Here is a 21,056-nt window from a genome sequence, read left to right as displayed (position 1 = left end):
ACTACTAAAAAGACTAGGAGGTCAAAAGTATTTCTTTCTAGCAGCAATTAATTAGATACATTTTCTGACATTAATATTCTTGGGGACTGTTAACATACTCACTGATATGGTTTGGATTTTTATCCTTGCCCAAATTTCATGTCAAAATGTAATCCTCAGTGTTGGAAGAGGGGCCTGGTGGGAGCTGATTCAATCATGGGGCCAGATTTTCCCCTTGCTGTTCTCATGACAGTGAATGAGCTCTCATGAGATCTGGTTGTTTAAAGGTGTGTATCACCTCCCCCTTCACTCTCTTCCTCCTGCTCCGGCCATGTAAGACATGCCTGCTTCCCCTTTCAGCATGATTGAAAGTTTCCTGAGGCCTCCCCAGCTATGCTCCTGTACAGTCTGTAGAACTGTGAGCCAAGTAAACCTCTTCTCTTTATAAATTACCCAGTTTCGTGTATTTGTTTATAGCAGTATGAGAAGGGACTGATACACTCACCTAATCAATTATTCCCTCTCTAACCACTTCCCTCTACCCAAATTCATCCTCTGATGTGCAACCATCAAGCATAGATGGTATTCTCCAATGGGGAGTGCTTGAGTACAGAAATTATGTGGTCCTGTGATCTTACTAGTGTGTTTATTTTCTAAGCAGGGAAATTATTTGAGGAAGTGACCACAGATGAAACTGTTTCCAGATGTCTACAAAGGTTTTTGGGTTTTGTGGGGACTGAAGTACAGCAGGAAGCAGCATAAGCAGACAGAAAGAAGCCTTAGTGTGTAAGTCCTTGTTTTCACCCTGTTTGATTATATTCTTGAGAAATTTAAACTGCATCACAATCATAGGGATTATCCTGCAGGAAGGAGGAGGAGGCCACTGCTGTTAAGAGGCATTTTTTTTTTTTAGGTAGTAAAAGTTGGGTAGCTGAGACCATTGCAGAGGCAGTGGGATACAATATCTTCACATGAAATGTAAAGTGATTAAAACCCAATTTGATAAAATCCCAAAGACTGAGACTGCTACAGGAGCAGGAAAGAGGAAAGAAAAGACAGTGAGATCATATAGCACTAAAGGAACTTCAGGTAGGGAGTTTTATCAAGATAGAACTTCCAGTTTTGTCTCAAATGACTGCTGAATTCCTTTTATTTAATTTTAAAATTTATTTATTTTTATTATCTGTTTTGAAGGGTGGGATAGAGAGCCAGATGAGAAATAGATTTGGTTTATCTTGGGCTCCCAAGTGACAAGAATCTGTTTCTTTGTTTGGTAGCCTTTTTTTAAAGAGGTGCAGATTATCTGTTACCTACATATCTTAAACCATCCTAGTCCTTCTTAGCATTCATAGTATATTTCCTCTATTTCATACTGTGCCTTCTACTCTCTCTGTATGTTGCTGGTTTAGGTACTAAGGCTTAGATTTATCATTGCCTCCTAACTGATGTACTTGCTTTAAATCTCATCTCTTTTGGCCGGGCGTGGTGGCTCACGCCTGTAATCCCAGCACTTTGAGAGGATGAGGTGGGCAGATCACTTGAGGTCAGGAGTTCGAGACCAGCCTGGCCAACGTGGTAAAACCCCATCTCTACTAAAAATATAAAAAATTAGCCGAGCATGGTGGCGTGTGCCTGTAGTCCCGGGTTCTCGGGAGGCTGAGGCAGGAGAATCACTTGAAACTGGGAAGCAGAGGTTGCAGTAAGCTGAGATTGTGCCATTACACTCCAGCCTGGGTGACAGAGCGAAACCCTGTCAAAATAAATAAAAATTAAGTCTCTTCCCTTTTGCATGCATATGTATTCATGTGCAAGCACACATGTACACACACACACACACACACACACGTACACAAGACTATCAGAGCAATAGCCCTCAAAGACAGGTATTATTACCTACTAACCCTGCTTTCAGTGTTTTCTCATTTCATCATTTAAGCTCTAAGCTCCTCTTTTCAATTTTCAAGACTGCCCATTGATTTAACTCCAGTATCTCTGATAGAATTTAGCACAATCTGCCATATATCCTAGCAGCTGTTTTATAGAAGCATAATTCTCTCCATTTAGACTGTGAGCTTTTACAAGTCAGGGACATTTTTTTAACTGCTTCATCCCCATAATAACTAGGATGTGATTCCCTATAGTAGGTGCTCAATAAATGCTAAATGAAGGGGTGACTACTTTTCCTGAGTTTGACGGCAATCTCATCTAGGCCACAAGAGAAACCTGATAAAAATACCAGCTCCCCTCACTTTTTTTCTCATGAAACTAATTTTTAAAACTTTCCACAAGGTTGATTATACTTCTCATCCTTGGATAATTTTAAAAGAATTATTTTTATTGTATTATTTTGTTAGTTTAGTTTAGTTTTTAAGTTTTCACTCTTTTGGTTTATTCACATGTGGCATTTCACATTGTAAAATGCATATATCACATCTGTGGCTACATTGTGAAAACTTACCAACCTATTTTGCATTTATTGAATCTCAAGAAGCCTATATCCTGCTTGCCTTGTGGGAGATTTCTTATGTAGAGTATTCATGTGCTCTGTATTACACAGATTCCTATTAACTTCCACCACAGCAAGATGTCTCTTGTTTGATTTTGACTAGTTTCCTGTGTCACTTATAAAATGTAGGATCCAAGTATTCCTTATCTTAAATCTCTGAGACATACTACAATTCGGAGATGTCAGCCTTGGAAATTATTGTTCCTTCCTATAATCAGTGTTATATAAAGCCCTAACAGAAGCACACAAGCACTGCACCTTAGGTATGTAATGCTTACTGAACTTACTGAATCTCAGGGCAGTGGTTTTTAAACTGTATTCCAAGGACTTCTAGCATTCATTAGAAACCTCTCAAGATGTTTCTTATAAGAAAAGCTACTACTTTTGCCAACTTTGCTTTTATCTAATTATGTAACTTGGGTTCCAAGTAAGATTTACTTTGGAAAAAACACAACACCACAATTTTCAAACCTTAACAAAAAAAAAGTGAAATTAACTATGTTAGAAGATAAATAGAAAGATATAGAAACCTAATACTAACCTTAAAGAACGCTTCGATTATTGGAAGCTTTTTAACACCTATTTCTCATTTTATTTAATGCTCATGCCATTTGAAAGTCACTTATGTAGACCAGATGTTACTGGTTTCTGTTCCTATTGATATGATAATCACACCACTTCCCCTCAAAAAATGACCCAGGATTTATTTTTTCCTGTAAGTATCTACTGAGTCTCTCCATGTGCCAGATATTAGATATGATGCCAGTTATAACAACTAGTTTAAACAAACAAACAAAAATTTGGTATGGTTCCCATCATTATGTACCTTATTATCTAATGGAGCTTGTGTTTTCATACCCATCATTCCTGACACTAACAAAGAACCTTTGGTTGCCTGGTTGATTGTTTAGTTATTGGCTTCTTTAGTTGGTTGCTTCATCCTTTCACTACTTTGACAAGTAAGATCATGGCAGCGGTTGAGGCAGGGCAACATGATGGAATGGTGCTAATTGCTCTTCCATTTGCAATAATCTTTGGCAATGGTCCTTTGCGTTCCAGTTTTAAATATGGAATTGTTACTTCTGTACTAGTACTGTACTTAAAATTTCCCTTTTATTTTTCCCTGTTTTTCTTGCAAGCTAATACCTCCCTACCTCTTTTGATAGCAGAGGTTATTTTTTATAAATTCATGAAATCCTCCATTTTCTACTGCTTCTGGTGCAATTCTTTACACATATAGAGTACTCCATAAAGTGTCTGAAATTGCCAGTTATATTTCTGCATTTCTGGCTCTATGAGTGAGGATAATGACTGAACTATTGCAGGTATTTTTGAGCCTCATGCCAAGCTCTGTCAAGGTAGAAGACTATTCTTACCAGGGATATTGTGTCAGGACTGTATATATCAAGTAAAGTGTTAAATTGGGTGACCTCCAAAGCTCCTCTACTTCTTAATTTTTACGATTCTGTGTTATTGCACAAGGATGCAATTTTATAAACAGAAAAATAAGTTTGCCTTTGGGTGTTAGGCTTTCATATCCTTCAGTGTGAGTTTTCATTGGATTTACTATAACCATTAGCAGTGTTCTCTGCATTGTACTGAAAGTACCAGAAACTTTGGCTCTGCTTCTTAGCATAGAAATGTCTTTTTCACAAATCATCCTGCAAATATATCTACTTATACCCATATGACACTCACTTTGACCCAGTCTCTTTTTTTAAGAAAAAAAAGGGAAAGATTATAAGATATAAATATGTATGATTTAATGTGGGTATGGGTATGTGCTTCCATAGATCTGCTTCCTCGTCACTTTCCTTGGGTGTACACCTCTCCTACATTGAATCAATGTTTATTGATTGATATCAATGTTTATTGATATTTATACTTCCTGGCTTCCCAGCACTGCTCTGGATGTTTAGGTTAAATCAAAGCAGGATACAACTAGATAGGACAAATAAGTTATAGTGTTCTATACCATTGTAGGACGACTATAGTTAACAATAATATATTCCATTGTTTCAAATAGCTGGAAGGAGGATATTGACTGTTCCCAACACAAAGAAATAATAAATATTTGAGATAATGGACTTGCTAATTACATTGATCTGATCACTATACATTATATGTAACATAAATATGTACAACTATTATATGTCAATTTAAGAATTTTTAAAAATGAAAAAGTTTATTTCCCAAAGAAAGAAAAAGAAGAAAGCAAGCAAACCCTTGGCCTTGCAGAGAATAGTCTAAAAAAATATTTTGAATAGTTTAACCTAAAAAAATAACTAAAGAACAATAAACCTAGCTGTCTCAGGATGAGTGTTATATACTGTGAGTAAAGGCTCTTCATGTAAGTTAAAGAACAATTCCAGTGGTGAATATATTTATTAAAGAAGAATTCTTACAGTTTAGACTTGTCCTCATATTGATGGAGGAGACATTTGAGAAGGTGGATAGTGGAGAAGTCGGCATAAGCCAGTGCACAAAAGTGAGACACAAAAGAATAAGGACAGGCGATAGGAAATGAACTGAAGCAAAGGGTCACACATATAGCCAGGTTCAAAGACAAGGATGGAAAAGAGAGTGGTGGATAGGCTAAATGGTGGGTGATTTTGAAGGGAAATTGATGGAGTTTGTATATGATGTGGTAGACGGCAGAGAGTCATTGTCCATGATTTGGATTGAGTGAGTATTGTTTTGTGAGATGGACTTAGCTATGTAGAGAGGAAGAGCACAGCGATAAGAAAGTCAGCTGAAAGACGGTCACAAAAATCACCCTATGAGGTAATAAGTTGCTTAGTCTTCTGGTTGAAGTGAAGGAGAAGGGACAAATATAAAATATGGCTAGATTTGATGAGCAGTAGTTTTATAGGCTAATTCTTTGGGTGCTTTTTAGCGAAGTTATCAGTTTTCTTTACTGAAAAATGCCTCTGGTCCATGAGTAGGCCAAAAGAATGAGCACAATAAAAGACATAGCTATTATGATTGCTATTTTTATAATATCTGTTTCGAGATTTCAAGAGAGAATAATAGTCTTAATGTGGTGTTTGGTAGGCCAGTGCTGTGTTAAACAGCTATTACTTATTACCCTATGGCGGCTGCTTCCCAAAGATGGGTGAAGTGATACCCAAGAATATGGCTTGCAGAATATTTTGGGATCAGCTCACATAAAAGGCACCATAAAAAAGCAAGGTGTCATTATCAATAGTCATAACAGTGTTGGTTGTTATTGTTGTCTTGGGAAGTTTATAAGAACTAATTGCAGTGGCAGCTCATACTGCAGCTATAAGCTATAGAAATAATCTTTTGGGTCATAATATTAAAAATGTCCAAAGGCAGCTAAACAGCCTTTGGAAATAAATGAGGCTGCTTTGATTTTTACCTGTGACAATGCACAAATCTGGCATTTTCTGATTTGGAAAAGTTCTGAGTCTGGAAATTAAACTGTCAGAGTTGAAAAGTATAGGAATGTGAGGACCAAAAGCTGTTTAATCAAAGTGCTGGATACTTTTTCAAAAGGGATAGGAAATAGATTGTCCAATAACAATGGTAACTGTGTGAAATGCATCTTCGGAACAAGGAGAGATGGAAGAAGAGGAAGAAGGCAAGAGAAACTGGAGATTGCTTTCCCAATTGTTAAAAAAAAAAAAAAAAATGTTTTCCCCTCTTCTTCTATTTCTTCTATTATGGCAGGACATAAAATGTTAAATATGCTCTCGCTCATCTTCAATTAAAGCACTTGCCTTTGTAATTCTTCTATATTCCACTGATTCAAATTTCTGGGGTTTCAAAATATTTAATGCCAAAGCAGTATTATACACATAATAGAAACCTAGTATGTGTATAGGTTTGCACACATATATTTTCCATTTTTAATGGTCCTATCCCTACTATAAAGAAAGTGGTAACAGAAGGTGACAGAAAATGATTTACACATTTTTTAACTCCTGAATTATTAGTGGGCATTTGCCACTGGATTATAAATTCTAGAGTTACTATTAGTGTTTTTCTAATGGATCTTTGTTATCCCCAAGTTGGTCAGTGTTCAGCCATTTAATTGGCAAACTGAAAAGGCCATGGTCTATATCATATTCTGTTGCACCAACATTTAGATGAAGCAATTAAAACAAATGTAGTGGGATTTACCCAAATAGAGGTCTGCTTTGTTACAAGAGGCCCATGCTTGCATCCAGGACAGCTAACCTGCCTCCTTTTTTGTCACTTATTCATCCAACATTTATTGAATGACAGTTCTGTACTCAGCTCCATTTTTGTGTTAAGATTGCAGGGATGTGCAAGTTACCCATAACCATAAAGGACTTTGACCATAGGAAGAACACTAACCTTGTTCTTTTAGTTATCATAACATTCATGTATGTTGAAATAAGTCGATCTTAAGATTTTTGAGAATTTAGTGGATAGCACTATTTACAATTTACTCAGCTCTGTGTTTTATTTGAGAAGGTGGGACTCTTTTTTTTCTCTCATTCTATCATTTCCCATCCTCTTTCCCAGTAGCCATTGTCGATGTGGAAACTGTTATGTTTCCTGTCATGAAGAGGGGAAAGAAACACTTCACTCAACAATGCCAATATAAGTGAACCAACCCTTACCTTTAGGTTATCAAGCAAAACTTGAATCATGACACTAAACATCCATTACACTAATGATTCTGAAAGCAGTCCTTCTTGAGAGAAGAATTGAGAGAAATTAGGTGCTTATATTTCTATCCCACATCCTCTCAACAACATGATTCTGAAAGCAGTCCTTCTTGAGAGAAGAATTGAGAGAAACTAGGTGCTTATATTTCTATCCCTTATCCTCTCAACAACATTGCTACCATCTTTCTTGGGAGTTTTCAAATGCTCTTAAATCTAGGTTTGAAGTTGCCTTTGTCCCTACTGCATTTTTTATGCTCTATCACAAGCTAAAGCAAAAAATATTAGTTGTTGGGGAAGCCCCAGTAACAAATTCCAGATATTTATATTGAGCGTCTATAGATATTCTCAACCCCAGAAGAAGTAAGAGACACTGACAATTACGGTAAAAGAACTTAACAGCTTTCAAGTAAAAAAAAAAAAAAGGAAAGCCTTAAAATAATGAAATTGATCCAGTTTTACTTCTTACCAATTCTCTGGTAAAATTTTAACCCTTTTTGCTGTCAGATTATAGACGGTTGTGAACATATAAACTACATATAAACTATTATCTGTAATTGGCGCATGGCCAGCAGTCATTTTTTTAATCATTAATCTGTACATAGACACTTACTCAGTACCTGACATGATCTAGAAGCTCAATTGATATTTATTAAATATATAAATTTATTTATTTATTTAACCTTTTGGAAGAAGGTCAATAAAACTATTCTGTTTTTATAGTGTTGGTGGTTACATGACTGTGCATTCATCAAAACCAATAAAATTGTGCACTAAAATAAGTAATTTTATTGTATGTAAATAAAAAGTTTTTGAGTGAATGGATGCTCACCCCATGAAGGATCCATGCATGCCTATTCAGTCTTCCTTTTATCGATCAGTCATTTTTTGAGGAACCACAATGAACTGGTCACTGTTTGAACTCCAAAGAGATAGAGATAAATAAATGGTCTCTTTTGCTCCTGTCTAAAAGTTGATCCTCTCTTCTCCACCTGCTCCTTATACTCCAATCTCTTATAGTTTCCTTTTGTCAAAACTTCACCTTACTAGGGTCCCATGGATGATGGCTTCTCAGAGGACAGAAGGGCCCAGAGATTCTGGATTCTTTGGATTTAGAGATGACTCAAGGCCAAAATAAAATCCTATTTTATTGATATTATGGGTGATAAGAAGTTGTGCTTTTATTTGCCCAAATACTTGCTGGCAAAAATATGTTCATGGTTCAGATTATCAGATTTAAAAAAATCAGGTAGGGCCACCTACAGTTGTTCTGTCATTTGATTGTTATTTGTGGAGGTAACATGATGATGGTATTAAGATAATAGGAGCAGTAGTAAGAGTGATAATACTTTGAGTGTAGTGATCAGACTTGGTTTTCTATTTAATATAACTCAATTTTGTTGTGAGGTTTCTATATTCCTGCATGATTCAATGAAATGTGATCTCATCTCTAGCTAATATAGTCTTATTAATCCAAACCAATAATAGTAATCCTATTCCCCTTCTCAGCAATTGGTATAGAATGTAAAAATCAAATGCTTGTTAAACATTTTCTATGTGCCAGCTACTGTTCTAAGCACATGATTTGTATTAACCCATGTAATCATCACAACAATCCAATGTGGAATGCAATATTATGACCTCCATTTATAGATAAGGAATTTGAAGCACAGAGAAATAAAGCAAAGCCCAAAGTTAAATAGTTCTGATGCACAATGCTGGAATTCAAACTCAAGTCATCTTATTCCAGTTTTCATGCTTTTAGCACTATATTAACCTGCATACAACCCAATTCTTGTCCATGAGATATGAGAAAAATAAACTGTTGAAAATTTCTCGGTTTTCTTGCACCTCAGGATTGAACGAACATAGAGAAAGAAGAGCCAGGAACCACAGAGACAGCAAAGTAATGGTCAGACACACAACCCTGGAGCCTGCCCAACTTGTGTACCTCTTATTATGTGAGATAATAAAAGTCTTCATTGTGTAAATCAGTTTGAGTCAGGATGTTCTCTTCTTTTATAGCCAAAATCATCCAAGTAGTTATTAATATATTGAATGCTAATTTCACTGCTTCTCACATAGCAGGTGTGCTACATGTAGTGTCTTATATAACCTTCCAACCTAAAATCGTTGTTATTATACCCCTTTCCAGACTGAGGGTTAGAAAAGTTAACTAATTCGCCACAATCGTATAGCAAGTAATGTCAGAGGCTGGTATGCTAGCTCTTATAACACATGTTCTTAAACACTCTCCACAACTATGTCTATTTTCCCAATTATAAACATAATCTCATAATAATAACTTTTTTATCCAGTGCCTGTTATACAAAACAAATTTTACTTCTTATAATATGAAAGGTAATTATAAAATCTGGATGTTTTCAGTTGTTAAATTTTCACAGAGTAGCCACAAAGCGAGTACATTATATATATTCTGCTATCTTATGCCACTAAGCAATTAGATTAAATAAAAAATACTGGCTTCCTCCGATTGGCTTATAAAACAAGCCAAGGCAATTGATAGGCATTGTGACTTCTTCGTTACTTTTTTCTTGCTTTGGATGCAGATTGGAAAAAAATTTCCAAATTGAATTTTATTTAGTTATGTCTAATCTTATACATAGAGGCTTGTACCACATTGCCTTATTGAAGAGCAACTTAAAAAAATGTTGGCATCTTAAAAATCTAAACACTAAAGCAAAGTACACAGACAAGCACAATATATAGATTAATAATTATCAAGAAAGCTAGCTGGGTGTATGATTATGATTTATCATAGGTGAGGTTTAAGCTCGTTAATTCGCTGGAAATTGTTAGTGCCCATCACTGGTGTTTACAGCCTGTAACAAGAGTCACAGGCCTTTCTCACACTCATGCCCACTTGTTTTAAAAGTTTCCTGAATGGTAGGCATCAAAAATGAATGACTCAATTTTCACAAGACCCGCTGTCAGTAATCAACAGCATGAGTGGCGAGAAAAGTCAATTAGATTTAAGAAATACTCCCAGCTGAAAAATTCAATAATTCTTCTGTTTCTACAAAGAATGAAATGAATTTAAGAAAATAAGGTTGTCTTTGGAGGGTGTGGCTTTAAAATGAAGAATTTATAAAATGAGCTTAATTTTTAGAAGGCCTGCCTTACAAACAGTGATGGCTTTCTCTGTGAGGAATGGGGATTGTTCTGTTGGCATTGCTGGGCTTTGGACCTTCTGAACACAGTCGTAGGGCTGTGTATTGTTCACTGCTACATCCTTCATAATGTGAAGAAGAAAGGAAGAAGAATGTGAATGGGAGGGAAGCAGGCTCTGGAAGCTTAACCTATGATGGATACCTTAGCACATGTGCTCATCCCTTTCCTAAGCCTATCTTCCCACTTTTTTCTCTGGTCAGGATGTGAACTAGAAAACAGAAACAGGTCCTCAAGCACAACTGTTCCACTTCTAGATTCACTACAGCCATTTTGGGAGAAAAGCAATTTAAGTTTTGGTGTTCCTTGCTTTTTTTCCCCCCATATGCCTTATCCTGACTCCCAACAGTAGAGAGCAGAGCTATTTATTTATCTATTATCGTGAGAGACAGGGTCTCAATCTGTCACTCAGGCTGGAATGGAGTGGCGTGATCATAGCTCCCTGTAAATGGAACTCCTGGGCTCAAGGGATCCTCCCACCTCAGCTTCCCAAGTAGCTAGGACTACAGCCATGTGCCATCACATGCAGTTAATTGTTTTTTAAATTTTTTGTGAAAACCGTGTCTTGCTGTGTTGCCCAGGGTGATCTGAAAATTCTGGCCTCAAATGATCCTCCTGCCTCAGCCTCCCAGGGTACTGGTATTACAGGCATGTGCCTAGCCCTGGTTTATATCTCTATCTCTCTCAAAATAGTATTCATTTTAAAAAAGGACAATGGTAAGATAGCAGAGTTAGATTTAGTGTTTAGAAATATATAATGAACTGTACTGTGCTTTGGGGGAATTAAATTAAAAACTGGTACCTACCAATATCTAATCCATAATAGCTCCTTGATTTATCCTAAGCATTAATCACTAATGGTGGAATTGTTGGCATCAGTGGGGAAGATGTTCGGGTCATTGAGGCTGCCCTGCACCCTGTCACCTCACACCATGGGAGCAAACACCTATTGCATAGCCAGGGGTATTCCAATCAATTTGTGTCAGAACTCCATAAGTTAGGAAGCAGATATATGCTGAGAAAAAGCAGAAGGAAATGCCTTTCTCCACAGGACTTTTGGGGGACATTCTTAGAGGTTGTAAACATCAAAATAATCTCATTAAAATTTTATGTCTTATCTCTGGGATGAATTTCTATCAAAGGACAACTTGGCAATCATGACAAGGGGTGGATTGATTGGAACAAAACTGACAATAAAATGATGGGTTTTTTTTTCTCTCTTGTTTCAAATGTAAATGAATGTTCTTTGATTCTCAGGAAATGCAGCTATAGTTCTGCCTCCCACCATGGCACAGAGAGAGCTCCCCTCCAGGGATATCATCTCTTATACCTGACAGATCCATTGGTCAGTAAAAAAAAAATAATAATAATAAAAGCTTTCAAGATATCTTTCCCAAATCAAACACAGTGGTGATGGGCTGGTGGAGTTCTTTGTATTATTTAGAAAAAGGAACAATTTGAATAACTTGTTTATTTCCACCAATATATCTTGAAATATTTTTTAAAAAATACTTTAAGATGGATAGTTCTGCTTATCCTAGGAATATGGGCTCAACCTGCTGAGTCTGTTGGGACAGAGTTGGTTTTCCTTCTTCAATTCTACTCTTCCATGGGCCCCTTCCTTTTCTTTCATCCCCTGGCTCAGTACTTGCTACTTTACTCTCACTGCTCTTTTACCCCTTGCCCAGTGCTTCTCCTTTTGATGGCTGTGCCTCTGTTCCTGCTCAGCTTTCAGTCTTCATATTCACACACAGATTTATCTCTGCCCTGTTTTTGAATTGGCAGTACATAATAACCCTACATTATTATACATAGTATGTTGTATATAAGGGGTGTGGGCTGAGAGGTGTTGAGAATAGCATATGCCAAAATGTTTCTCCATGAGGGCAGAGGCAGTATCTGCCTTGATTACTGCTTATATTCTCTACTTACATCACTTATATAGTAATTGGTCCATGACAAGAATTCAATAGATGGATGGAAGGACAGATAAATGGATAGAAGCGTGGAAGAATGAACAGATGGATGGATAAATGGATGGATAGATAGACAATCAGAGAGATGTATATAGATCAGATAGAAAGGCCAGCTACACTCTTTATGAGATCCTGTATCCTTTCTCATTTCAATTCAACTTCATTGTGTTTACATAGTCACATCTTTTCCTCTATCCTTTTGGATGAGTGGATTTGTGTAATAACCTCTCAGTCCAAATAATACTATGAAGAAATATGTCTTCACTCATGTGCAGTACAACTACATAAATTGTGAGCTGGATATGAAGATGCAAAAGCATAAGAATGATATAATGGACTTTGGGGACTCTAGCTGGGAAGGTTGGAGGGGGGATAAGGGCAAAAAGACTACATATTGGGTACAGTGTACACTGCTTGGGTGACAGGTGCACTGACATCTCACCACTAAAGAGCTTATCCATGTAGCCAAAAACCTCCTGTACCCAAAAAACTATTAAAATTTAAAAAAATTAAAAATTTTAGGGCCAGGCGCAGCGGCTCACGCCTGTAATCCCAGCACTTTGGGAGGCCAAGGCGGGCGGATCACGAGGTCAGGAGATCAAGACCATCCTGGCTAACACGGTGAAACCCCGTCTCTACTAAAAATACAAAAAAATTAGCCGGGCCTGGTGGCGGGCGCCTGTAGTCCTAGCTACTTGGGAGGCTGAGGCAGGAGAATGGCGTGAACCCAGGAGGTGCAGCTTGCAGTGAGCTGAGATCGCGCCACTGCACTCCAGCCTGGGTGACAGACAGAGTGAGACTCCGTCTCAAAAAAAAAAAAAAAAACAAAAAAAAAACTAAAAATTTTAGATTTAAAAGTTGTGAGCTGGATAGGTTTGATGATGTGACATCAGGTCATAAAATTCTGCAAATGGATTCTAAATGTATATACTAGATTTTTTTCTGGATACAATGACTATATATTTTTGAAGCCTATGGTCCAATGCAATTATAAAAAATGCATACATATATATGTACATATATACATGCATATATACACAGACACACACTCACAGGCATAACAAAATGGTGTTATCGTTGTTTCAGTGCTGAATGCCTGCAGTTGCTTATAACAATGCTGCAAATTGAAAGCCAGTATAGCATAGTTCCTAGGAGCATAGACTGTGGAGCCAGACTGCCTGGGTCCACTTGTTAGTTCTGCCACTTGTAATTTTGTGGATACAGACAAGTCACTGAAGATCTCTGTGCCTCAGTTTCCTCATCTAAAAAATAGGAATCATAATAGTACCTGGCTCCTTAATTTTGTGTAAGGACTAAATATCTTAGTATGCAAAGCACTTAGAACTGTGCCTGGCACATGGCAAGTGCTAGAGAGAGAGCAGTTGTGAGGAGATAAATTGGGGTATTGTTCCAATGGCAGAAGGCTGCTGAAAGTTTTTCTTTCTGAGTATTTACTACTACATCAATCATTCATTCATTGATTCAGCATGTAATTGAGCAATGACATGACAGGTATTATGGTAATCACTGGGGCTGAATAGGGGATAAAATAGACAAGTTCCCTGGCCCACCACAATTAGCATTCTCTATTGCAACAAACATATGAACATATAAAGAACAAGGAAATACACACATACACACACATATGATGTTTTTAGATGGTAATAAGGGCTTTAGAGATTATGCAACAGAGCTAAAGGGATCAGGATACCCTGGATGGGGTGGGAAGGGAACTGAGAACTCTAAGATGAGAAGAAGCCAATTATGCAGGGAACCAGGGAGAGATATTCCAGGGCTCAGCCATGCAGGCCCCTGGTGATAAGAAGTTTGGCATATTTGTAGCATTAAGAACAAGAGGGGAGTGACAGCAGATGAGGCCTGTGGGGTAGAGAAAAACTAACCCATTAAGACTAGCCTGCCCTGCTCACATTTCTCTCATAATTAAACACAATCTATCTGGACCATCCTTAATTTGCAAAGCACAGATAGATCTAAATTTTCCTTAATTATTATTTCCTCTTTGGTGGATTTCTGAAAAGAAGTGTGTGTGTGTGTGTATGTGTGTTTGTGTTCAGACATCTGCCTATCTATAGCTAAGCTTCTGATTAACCAAGTTTTAATCTATCTACCTCATTGCGCTTTGCTATTTTCTCTTTCTTTATCCTCCAATTGCTCCACTAGGTGGGGGGTCTGGAGGGCAAACACATTCATTATGTTGCCAGCAAACAAGATAGGAATTGCACTGCAGGGGACAAAATTAAATTTACAGCTTTCCCTTGTAGATGTCATAAACTATTGATTTAACACAAGAGGAGAAAGCTGCAATGATGGGGGCACAACTGCAGCGTATAGCTGGACTGTGTCTGGGGAGAGGTCAGCAATGACTGCCAACAGCCAAGTCCAGACATCTGAGATCAACTCCTGCCCACAGGCAAAGGGTGAAGGAAGCTAGACTTGGTATGCTTGCTATAAGAGCAAAATTTCAACCTAGAAGCACGGTCTGCTCAGACATACTATCTGTACACCTGGATGAAGCATTGCATGATTAATATGGAGAGAACAGATTTAGTGAATGTTTACATCAAGTATCTTGGAGTCTTTGACCTGTGAGGGGCTTTAAAAAAGTAACAAGTGAGGAGTCAGGCTCAGAGAGGCAGATAACCTGATGAAGACTCTATCTCATAAATAATAGACAAGTTTAGTTCTCTTCCTATAGGAAGCCTCTTGCTGATACCTCAGTACTAGTTAGGAATGACTCCTTCATACTCCCCCAACACCATGTACTTGGCACTGACATTGTTTCCTGGTCATCAGCCTTACTAAGCTAGATGCTACTTGAAAAAAAAAAAAAATATATATATATATATATGGATATATATATATTTGGATTATATATATATATTTGGATTATATATATATATATTTGGATTATATATATATATTTGGATTATATATATATATTTGGATTATATATATATATATATTTGGATTATATATATATATATATATATTTGGATTATATATATATATATATATATATTTGGATTAGTGACCCCATGTTGATTTCAAATGAAACAAGATTACTTACTAAACAGTTTATTCTCCACACTCTTATCTTCGTCTGTTTAGGTTGGTGCAAACGTACTTGTGGTTTTTGCCATTGCTTTTAATGGCAAAAACCGCAATTATGTTTGCACCAACCTAATAGAAACCTCTGCTTTTCCTCATTTTATTTAGTATTTGGCACAACTCTTACATGATGGAGTCAGGAATGAAAAGGAAGAATGATTGCCTCTGTTGCACAATTTCAAAAAGTTTTAAGCAGATTCTGTTGCTCTATCCATCCTAATAGTATGTTGGTGAGTGTTAAATAATCTAACTGTGGAAACCAGACACTTCTTTCTAACTGCATTTTGAATCAATAAATAGGACAGGAATTTAAGAAGCATGGTGTATGTTTGGATTAAAAAGCACTATTACCCAATATTTGTACAAATATTTGTCATATTCATGATTCAAAGGACCCAGCTCAAGCTGATAATTTAGTAGGTATAATGTTAAAATACAAAACGAAAGTCAGTAATACATACATTTTTCTAGCAAACTTTAACCTCAGCTATGAATCTGTCTGGATAACTCAGAGACTCCTCAACATGTATGTATGATCCTTATTTCCAAATGCAAAAGCATTTTGAAAACTCCAGATTATATATGTGTGATCTTATTCGTTTTTTTTGTGTTTTTTTAAGGAAAAATCTTTAAAAAATGAAGGAAATCCAGATATTAAGAAAACATGAGAATGAATATGAAAAATGTGGCATGAAATTTTAAAATTAGAAGAGTCTAAGAACTTGTATCAATATTTTTTTTAATCTTTTTTTTGGAGAGGATGTGGAGAAATAGGAACACTTTTACACTGTTGGTGGGACTATAAACTAGTTCAACCATCGTGGAATTCAGTGTGGCGATTCCTCAGGGATCTAGAACTAGAAATACCATTTGACCCAGCCATCCCATTACTGGGTATATACCCCAAAGGATTATAAATCATGCTGCTATAAAGACACATGCACACGTATGTTTATTGCGGCACTATTCACAATAGCAAAGACTTGGAACCAACCCAAATGTCCAACAATGATAGACTGGATTAAGAAAATGTGGCACATATACACCATGGAATACTATGCAGCCATAAAAAATGATGAGTTCATGTCCTTTGTAGGGACTTGGATGAAGCTGGAAACCATCATTCTCAGCAAACTATCACAAGAACAAAAAACCAAACACCACATGTTCTCACTCATAGGTGGGAATTGAACAATGAGAACACATAGACACAGGAAGGGGAACATCACACACTGGGGACTGTTGTGGGGTGGGGGGAGGGGGGAGGGATAGCATTAGGAGATATACCTAATGCTAAATGACGAGTTAATGGGTGCAGCACACCAACATGGCACATGTATACATATGTAACAAACCTGCACGTTGTGCACATGTACCCTAAAACTTAAAGTATAATAATAATAAAATTTAAAAAAAAAGATCTTCTTCATTTTTAAAATTATTTTCATTTTGCTGTTGCCCCTCTTTCCCAAGCTCTTTCTAGTGTTCCTAGTGAGGACAGTAAGCAACAGGTCCAGGGATGGGGGAACATGTAGGCTGGAGGTCAAGCCATGGCAACCAAAATTGATCCTGTCAAGGAGCACCTTGAGAGGGAGAACAAAGCCTACAATTTCTTCCAGAACTGTAGGTCACAGATATTTATCAAGGCTGGGACATCCAGGAACATTACTGCCTTGGAAAGCAAAGTGTGTGTGTGTGTGTGTGTGTGTGTGTGTATAAGTGTGTGTATACGATATGTATATATACACACACACTCTCACACACTTTGCTTTCACTTTATATATATATAGAGAGAGAGAGAGAGAGAACCAGTGAAGAGCCACTATATATATATATATAATGTACACACACACTCACACGCACATATAAAACATACACATTCATACACATATTCACACACACACACCTGTATAGACAGAAAAACAAAGTTGTGTTTATAAAAATAATATGTGGAGGATCGCTTAATGAAACATTTTAATAGGGAATAGTTTCCCAACTCTGATAACAAAGTGAGTCTTAAGAAACAAATGTATGTGCTGAGTCCTCACTATATCCTAACATCATCAGAAAAAGATTTAGAGGTGTTGGTTCCAGAATCCCTCCCTCTTCCTGTTTTCTGGCCAGAACTGGTTTTCTAGGGGAGTTTCTCCCAGGAACAAGGTGACTTCACCAAGCTGTGCAGGATATGAAATTTCACCAACACCAAACCATGCACAAGGCATGTGTACTGCCAAACATAGAATTTCTAAAAACAATTCTCTAAGACCACTTATTACCAGCCACATAAGCTTGCCTAAGATTTTAGTTTGGAGAGCAGTAATTTATTATAGACTAGCACTAGAATTCATTTTCATATGCCAAAATGCTAATGTGAATGTGCAGAAAGAACCTTTGTCTCTAGGGGTAAAGGAGGCGGTGGATCCATTAATGTTCTTTCTTTCCTGCCCTACTTCCCTTTCATTTTCTTTTCTGCTTGGGGGTGAGTTATTTTGACATGATTATGTACTCTCATTTCTGCATTCAAATCCGCTATTCCCCACCCTTGCCTGCCAACCTCCATCTATTGAATCTACGTGTATATGTGTGTGTTTTTGTCTCTGCGTTTTCTAGCATTTATCTAAATGCTTCCCAGCACAGATCCAATGAATATGAGGCTTCTTATTCCCACTAAGCCTGACATAGGAATCCAACTTTTTTTTGGAAGAAGAACTGCTGTGTCATCTTTTTTGGTGCATGGATACTACATATTGATGCTTTGATTTAGAATATTTATTGGCACTAAGCCCATCTGTAGACAGTTTGGAACCTCAGTTTCTTTTGTGACTTTCTTGGCAGTCAGCATTCCTCCTGTTTGCTTAGAACAGGGAGGTCAGTGGATCTGGGGAGCTCTTGAAGCCTACAACATAGCCATTTCTAACACTTAGTCCAGGCTTATGTACCTGATCTGATCAGCCACAGGCAGAACAGTCATAGAGCTAACAGGTGAGGCTGCCACATCATCTAATGGCATACCCACTGCTCAGTATTCAGTCATTTCAAGTACAAATAAATGGAGTTAACCACAGATGGCACATTTAGTTCACACTATGACTATAATATTACTCGCTATTTACAGACTAGTATAGGAATAAACATGTTTACTCTGATAATTCTGAATACTAATGTAAAATCATCTTGCTATATTCACTCATGGATTGGATGGAAACACTCTGCAGAAAGTGTTATTTCATGCTATTTTGGAGATATGTATAGCTTCTCTTGCTTCCTCACTGTGGTGGGTACAATGCAAAAACCTTTGCATGCTTCTTGTCCCTAAAAAAATACAGTATATTCTGAAGCTAAACTCTATAATGTGGCAGCCACTAGCCACATGTGACCATTCACACTTAAAATAATTAAAATTAATAAAATTGAAAACTCAGTTCTTCACTTGCACTAGCTACTTTTTAAGTATTGCATAGCCCCACGTGGCTGGAGACTATCTCATTGAATAGCACATATGTAGAACATTTCCATCATTGCAAAAATTTTTATTGGAAAACAATGTAAAGTATTATTTTTTCTAAATGCAGTGTGTAGAATTGCTCCTTCTGCTTATTCAAAATGCAGATTTCTGGCCTCATTCAAGACCTACTAAATCAGAATCTCTAAGGTGTAGCCTTAAAATATGCATGTAAACAAACTTCTTAAATGTTCTTTATGTGCAATGAAGTTTCAGACTGCTTCATAGAGTATGTCCTCACATCCATTACATATTCACATACCAGTCATCAAGTGTTGCCAAATATATTCCAAATTTATTTTATTTTATTTTCAATTTTAGGTTCAGGGGTATATGTGCAGGTTTGTAATACGAGTAAATTGCATGTCACAGGTGTTTGGTTGTACTGATTATTTCATCACCCAGGTAATAAGCATAGTATCCAATAGGCAGTCTTTTCTTTTCTTTTCTTTTCCTTTCCTCTTCTCTTTTCCTCTCCTTTTCTCTTCTCTTTTCCTCTCCTCTCCTCTTTTCTCTTCTTTTCTCTCTCTCCTTCCTTCCTTCCTTTCTCCCTCCCTCCCTCCCTCTCTCTCTTTCTTTCTTTCAACAGAGTTTTGCTCTTACTGCCCAGGCTGAAGTGCAATGGCACGATCTCGGCTCACTGCATCCTCCGCCTCCCGGGTTCAAGCAATTCTCCTACCTCAGCCTCCCAAGTAGCTGGGATTACAAGTGTGCACCATCACACCTGGCTACTTTTGTATTTTTGGTAGAGACAGGGTTTCACCATGTTGGTCAGACTGGTCTCAAACTCCTGACCTCAAGTGATCCACCTGCCTTGGCCTCCCAAAATTCTGGGATTACAGGTGTGAGCCACCGTGCCCAGCCGGTAGTTTTTCAATTATCACATTTCTCCCACCCTCTACCCCTGAGTAGGCCCCAGTGTCTGTTGTTCCCTTCTTTGTGTCCATGTGTACTCATTGTTTAGCTCCCACTTGTAAGTGAGAACATGCAGTATTTTGTTTTCTGTCCTGTGTGAGTTAGCTTAGGTTAATGGCCTGAAGCTCTATCAGTGTTGCTGCAAAAAAACATGATCTCATTCTTTTTTTATGGCTTTGTAGTATTCCACGATGTATACATACCACATTTTCTTCATCCACTCTACCATTATTGGGCATTTAGGTTGTTTCACATCTTTGCTATTGTGAACAGTGCTGCAGTGAACATAAGCATGCATGTGTCTTTACAGTAGAATGATTTACATTCCTTTATGTGTATATCCAATAATGGTAGATCTAAGTTATTTGAAAAATCACCAAACTGCTTTCCACAATGACTGAATTAATTTATACTCCCACCAGCAGTATATAATTGTTCCCTTTTCTTTGCAACCTCCCCAGCATTTATTATTTCTTGACTTTTTAATAATAGCCATTCTGACTGGTGTGAGATATTATCTCGTGGTTTTTATTTACATTTCTCTAATGATCAGTGACATTGAGCTTTTTTTAATATGCCTATTGGCCACATATATGTCTTATTTTGAAAAGTATCTGTTCATGCCCTTTGCCCACTTTTTAATGGGGTTGGTTTTTGCTTTTCAATTTGTCTAAGTTTCTTATAGATTCTGGATATCAAATGTTTGTCAGATGCATACTTTGCAAATATTTACTCCCATTCTATAGGTTGTCTGTTTACTCTGTTGATAGTTTCTTACGTTTCACAGAACTTTTTAGTTTAATTAGGTCCCATTTGTCAATTTTTGTTTTGTTGCAATTTGCTTTTGGTGTCTTCGTCATGAAATCTTTGCAACGTCCTATGTCCAGAATGGTATTTCCTAGGTTGTCTTCAAGGATTTTTATAGCTTTAGGTTTTATATTTAAGTCTTCAATCTGTCTTTAGTTGATTTTTGTATATGGTGTAAAGAAGGGGTCCAGTTTCAATCTTCTGCCCCATTTATTGCATACCAGCCCCATTTGTTGGATAGGGATTCCTTTACCCATTGCTTGTTTTTGTTGACTTTGTCGAAGATCACATGATGCCTCCAGCTTTGTTTTTTGTTTTGTTTTGTTTTGTTTTCTGTTTTGTTTTGTTTCGTTTTTGCTTATGATTGCCTTGGCTGTTTGGGCTCCTTTTTGGTT

The 21,056-nt window shown here is 37.2% G+C and overlaps 1 protein-coding gene and 1 long non-coding RNA gene across 6 annotated transcripts in view; both read left to right on the top strand.

The window, feature by feature from the left end:
* Nucleotides 1-21,056, top strand: part of LSAMP (limbic system associated membrane protein) — a 643,114-nt gene that overhangs the window by 265,567 nt on the left and 356,491 nt on the right. The window lies entirely within an intron of this gene.
* On the top strand, nucleotides 394-9,137 carry LOC105374052 (uncharacterized). 2 transcript variants are annotated; one of them, XR_001740858.2, is made up of 2 exons: nucleotides 394-765; nucleotides 9,000-9,137. It is a non-coding gene; the product is annotated as an uncharacterized LOC105374052 (long non-coding RNA). The 2 variants fall into 2 exon arrangements; XR_007096009.1 differs by having other exon boundaries at nucleotides 893-9,137.

The sequence above is a fragment of the Homo sapiens genome, chromosome 3 (genome assembly GCF_000001405.40).
Source record: "Homo sapiens chromosome 3, GRCh38.p14 Primary Assembly".
Taxonomy (NCBI): Eukaryota; Metazoa; Chordata; class Mammalia; order Primates; family Hominidae; genus Homo; species Homo sapiens.
Note: the sequence above shows the minus strand (reverse complement) of the source record. Positions and strands in the feature narration are given on the sequence as shown.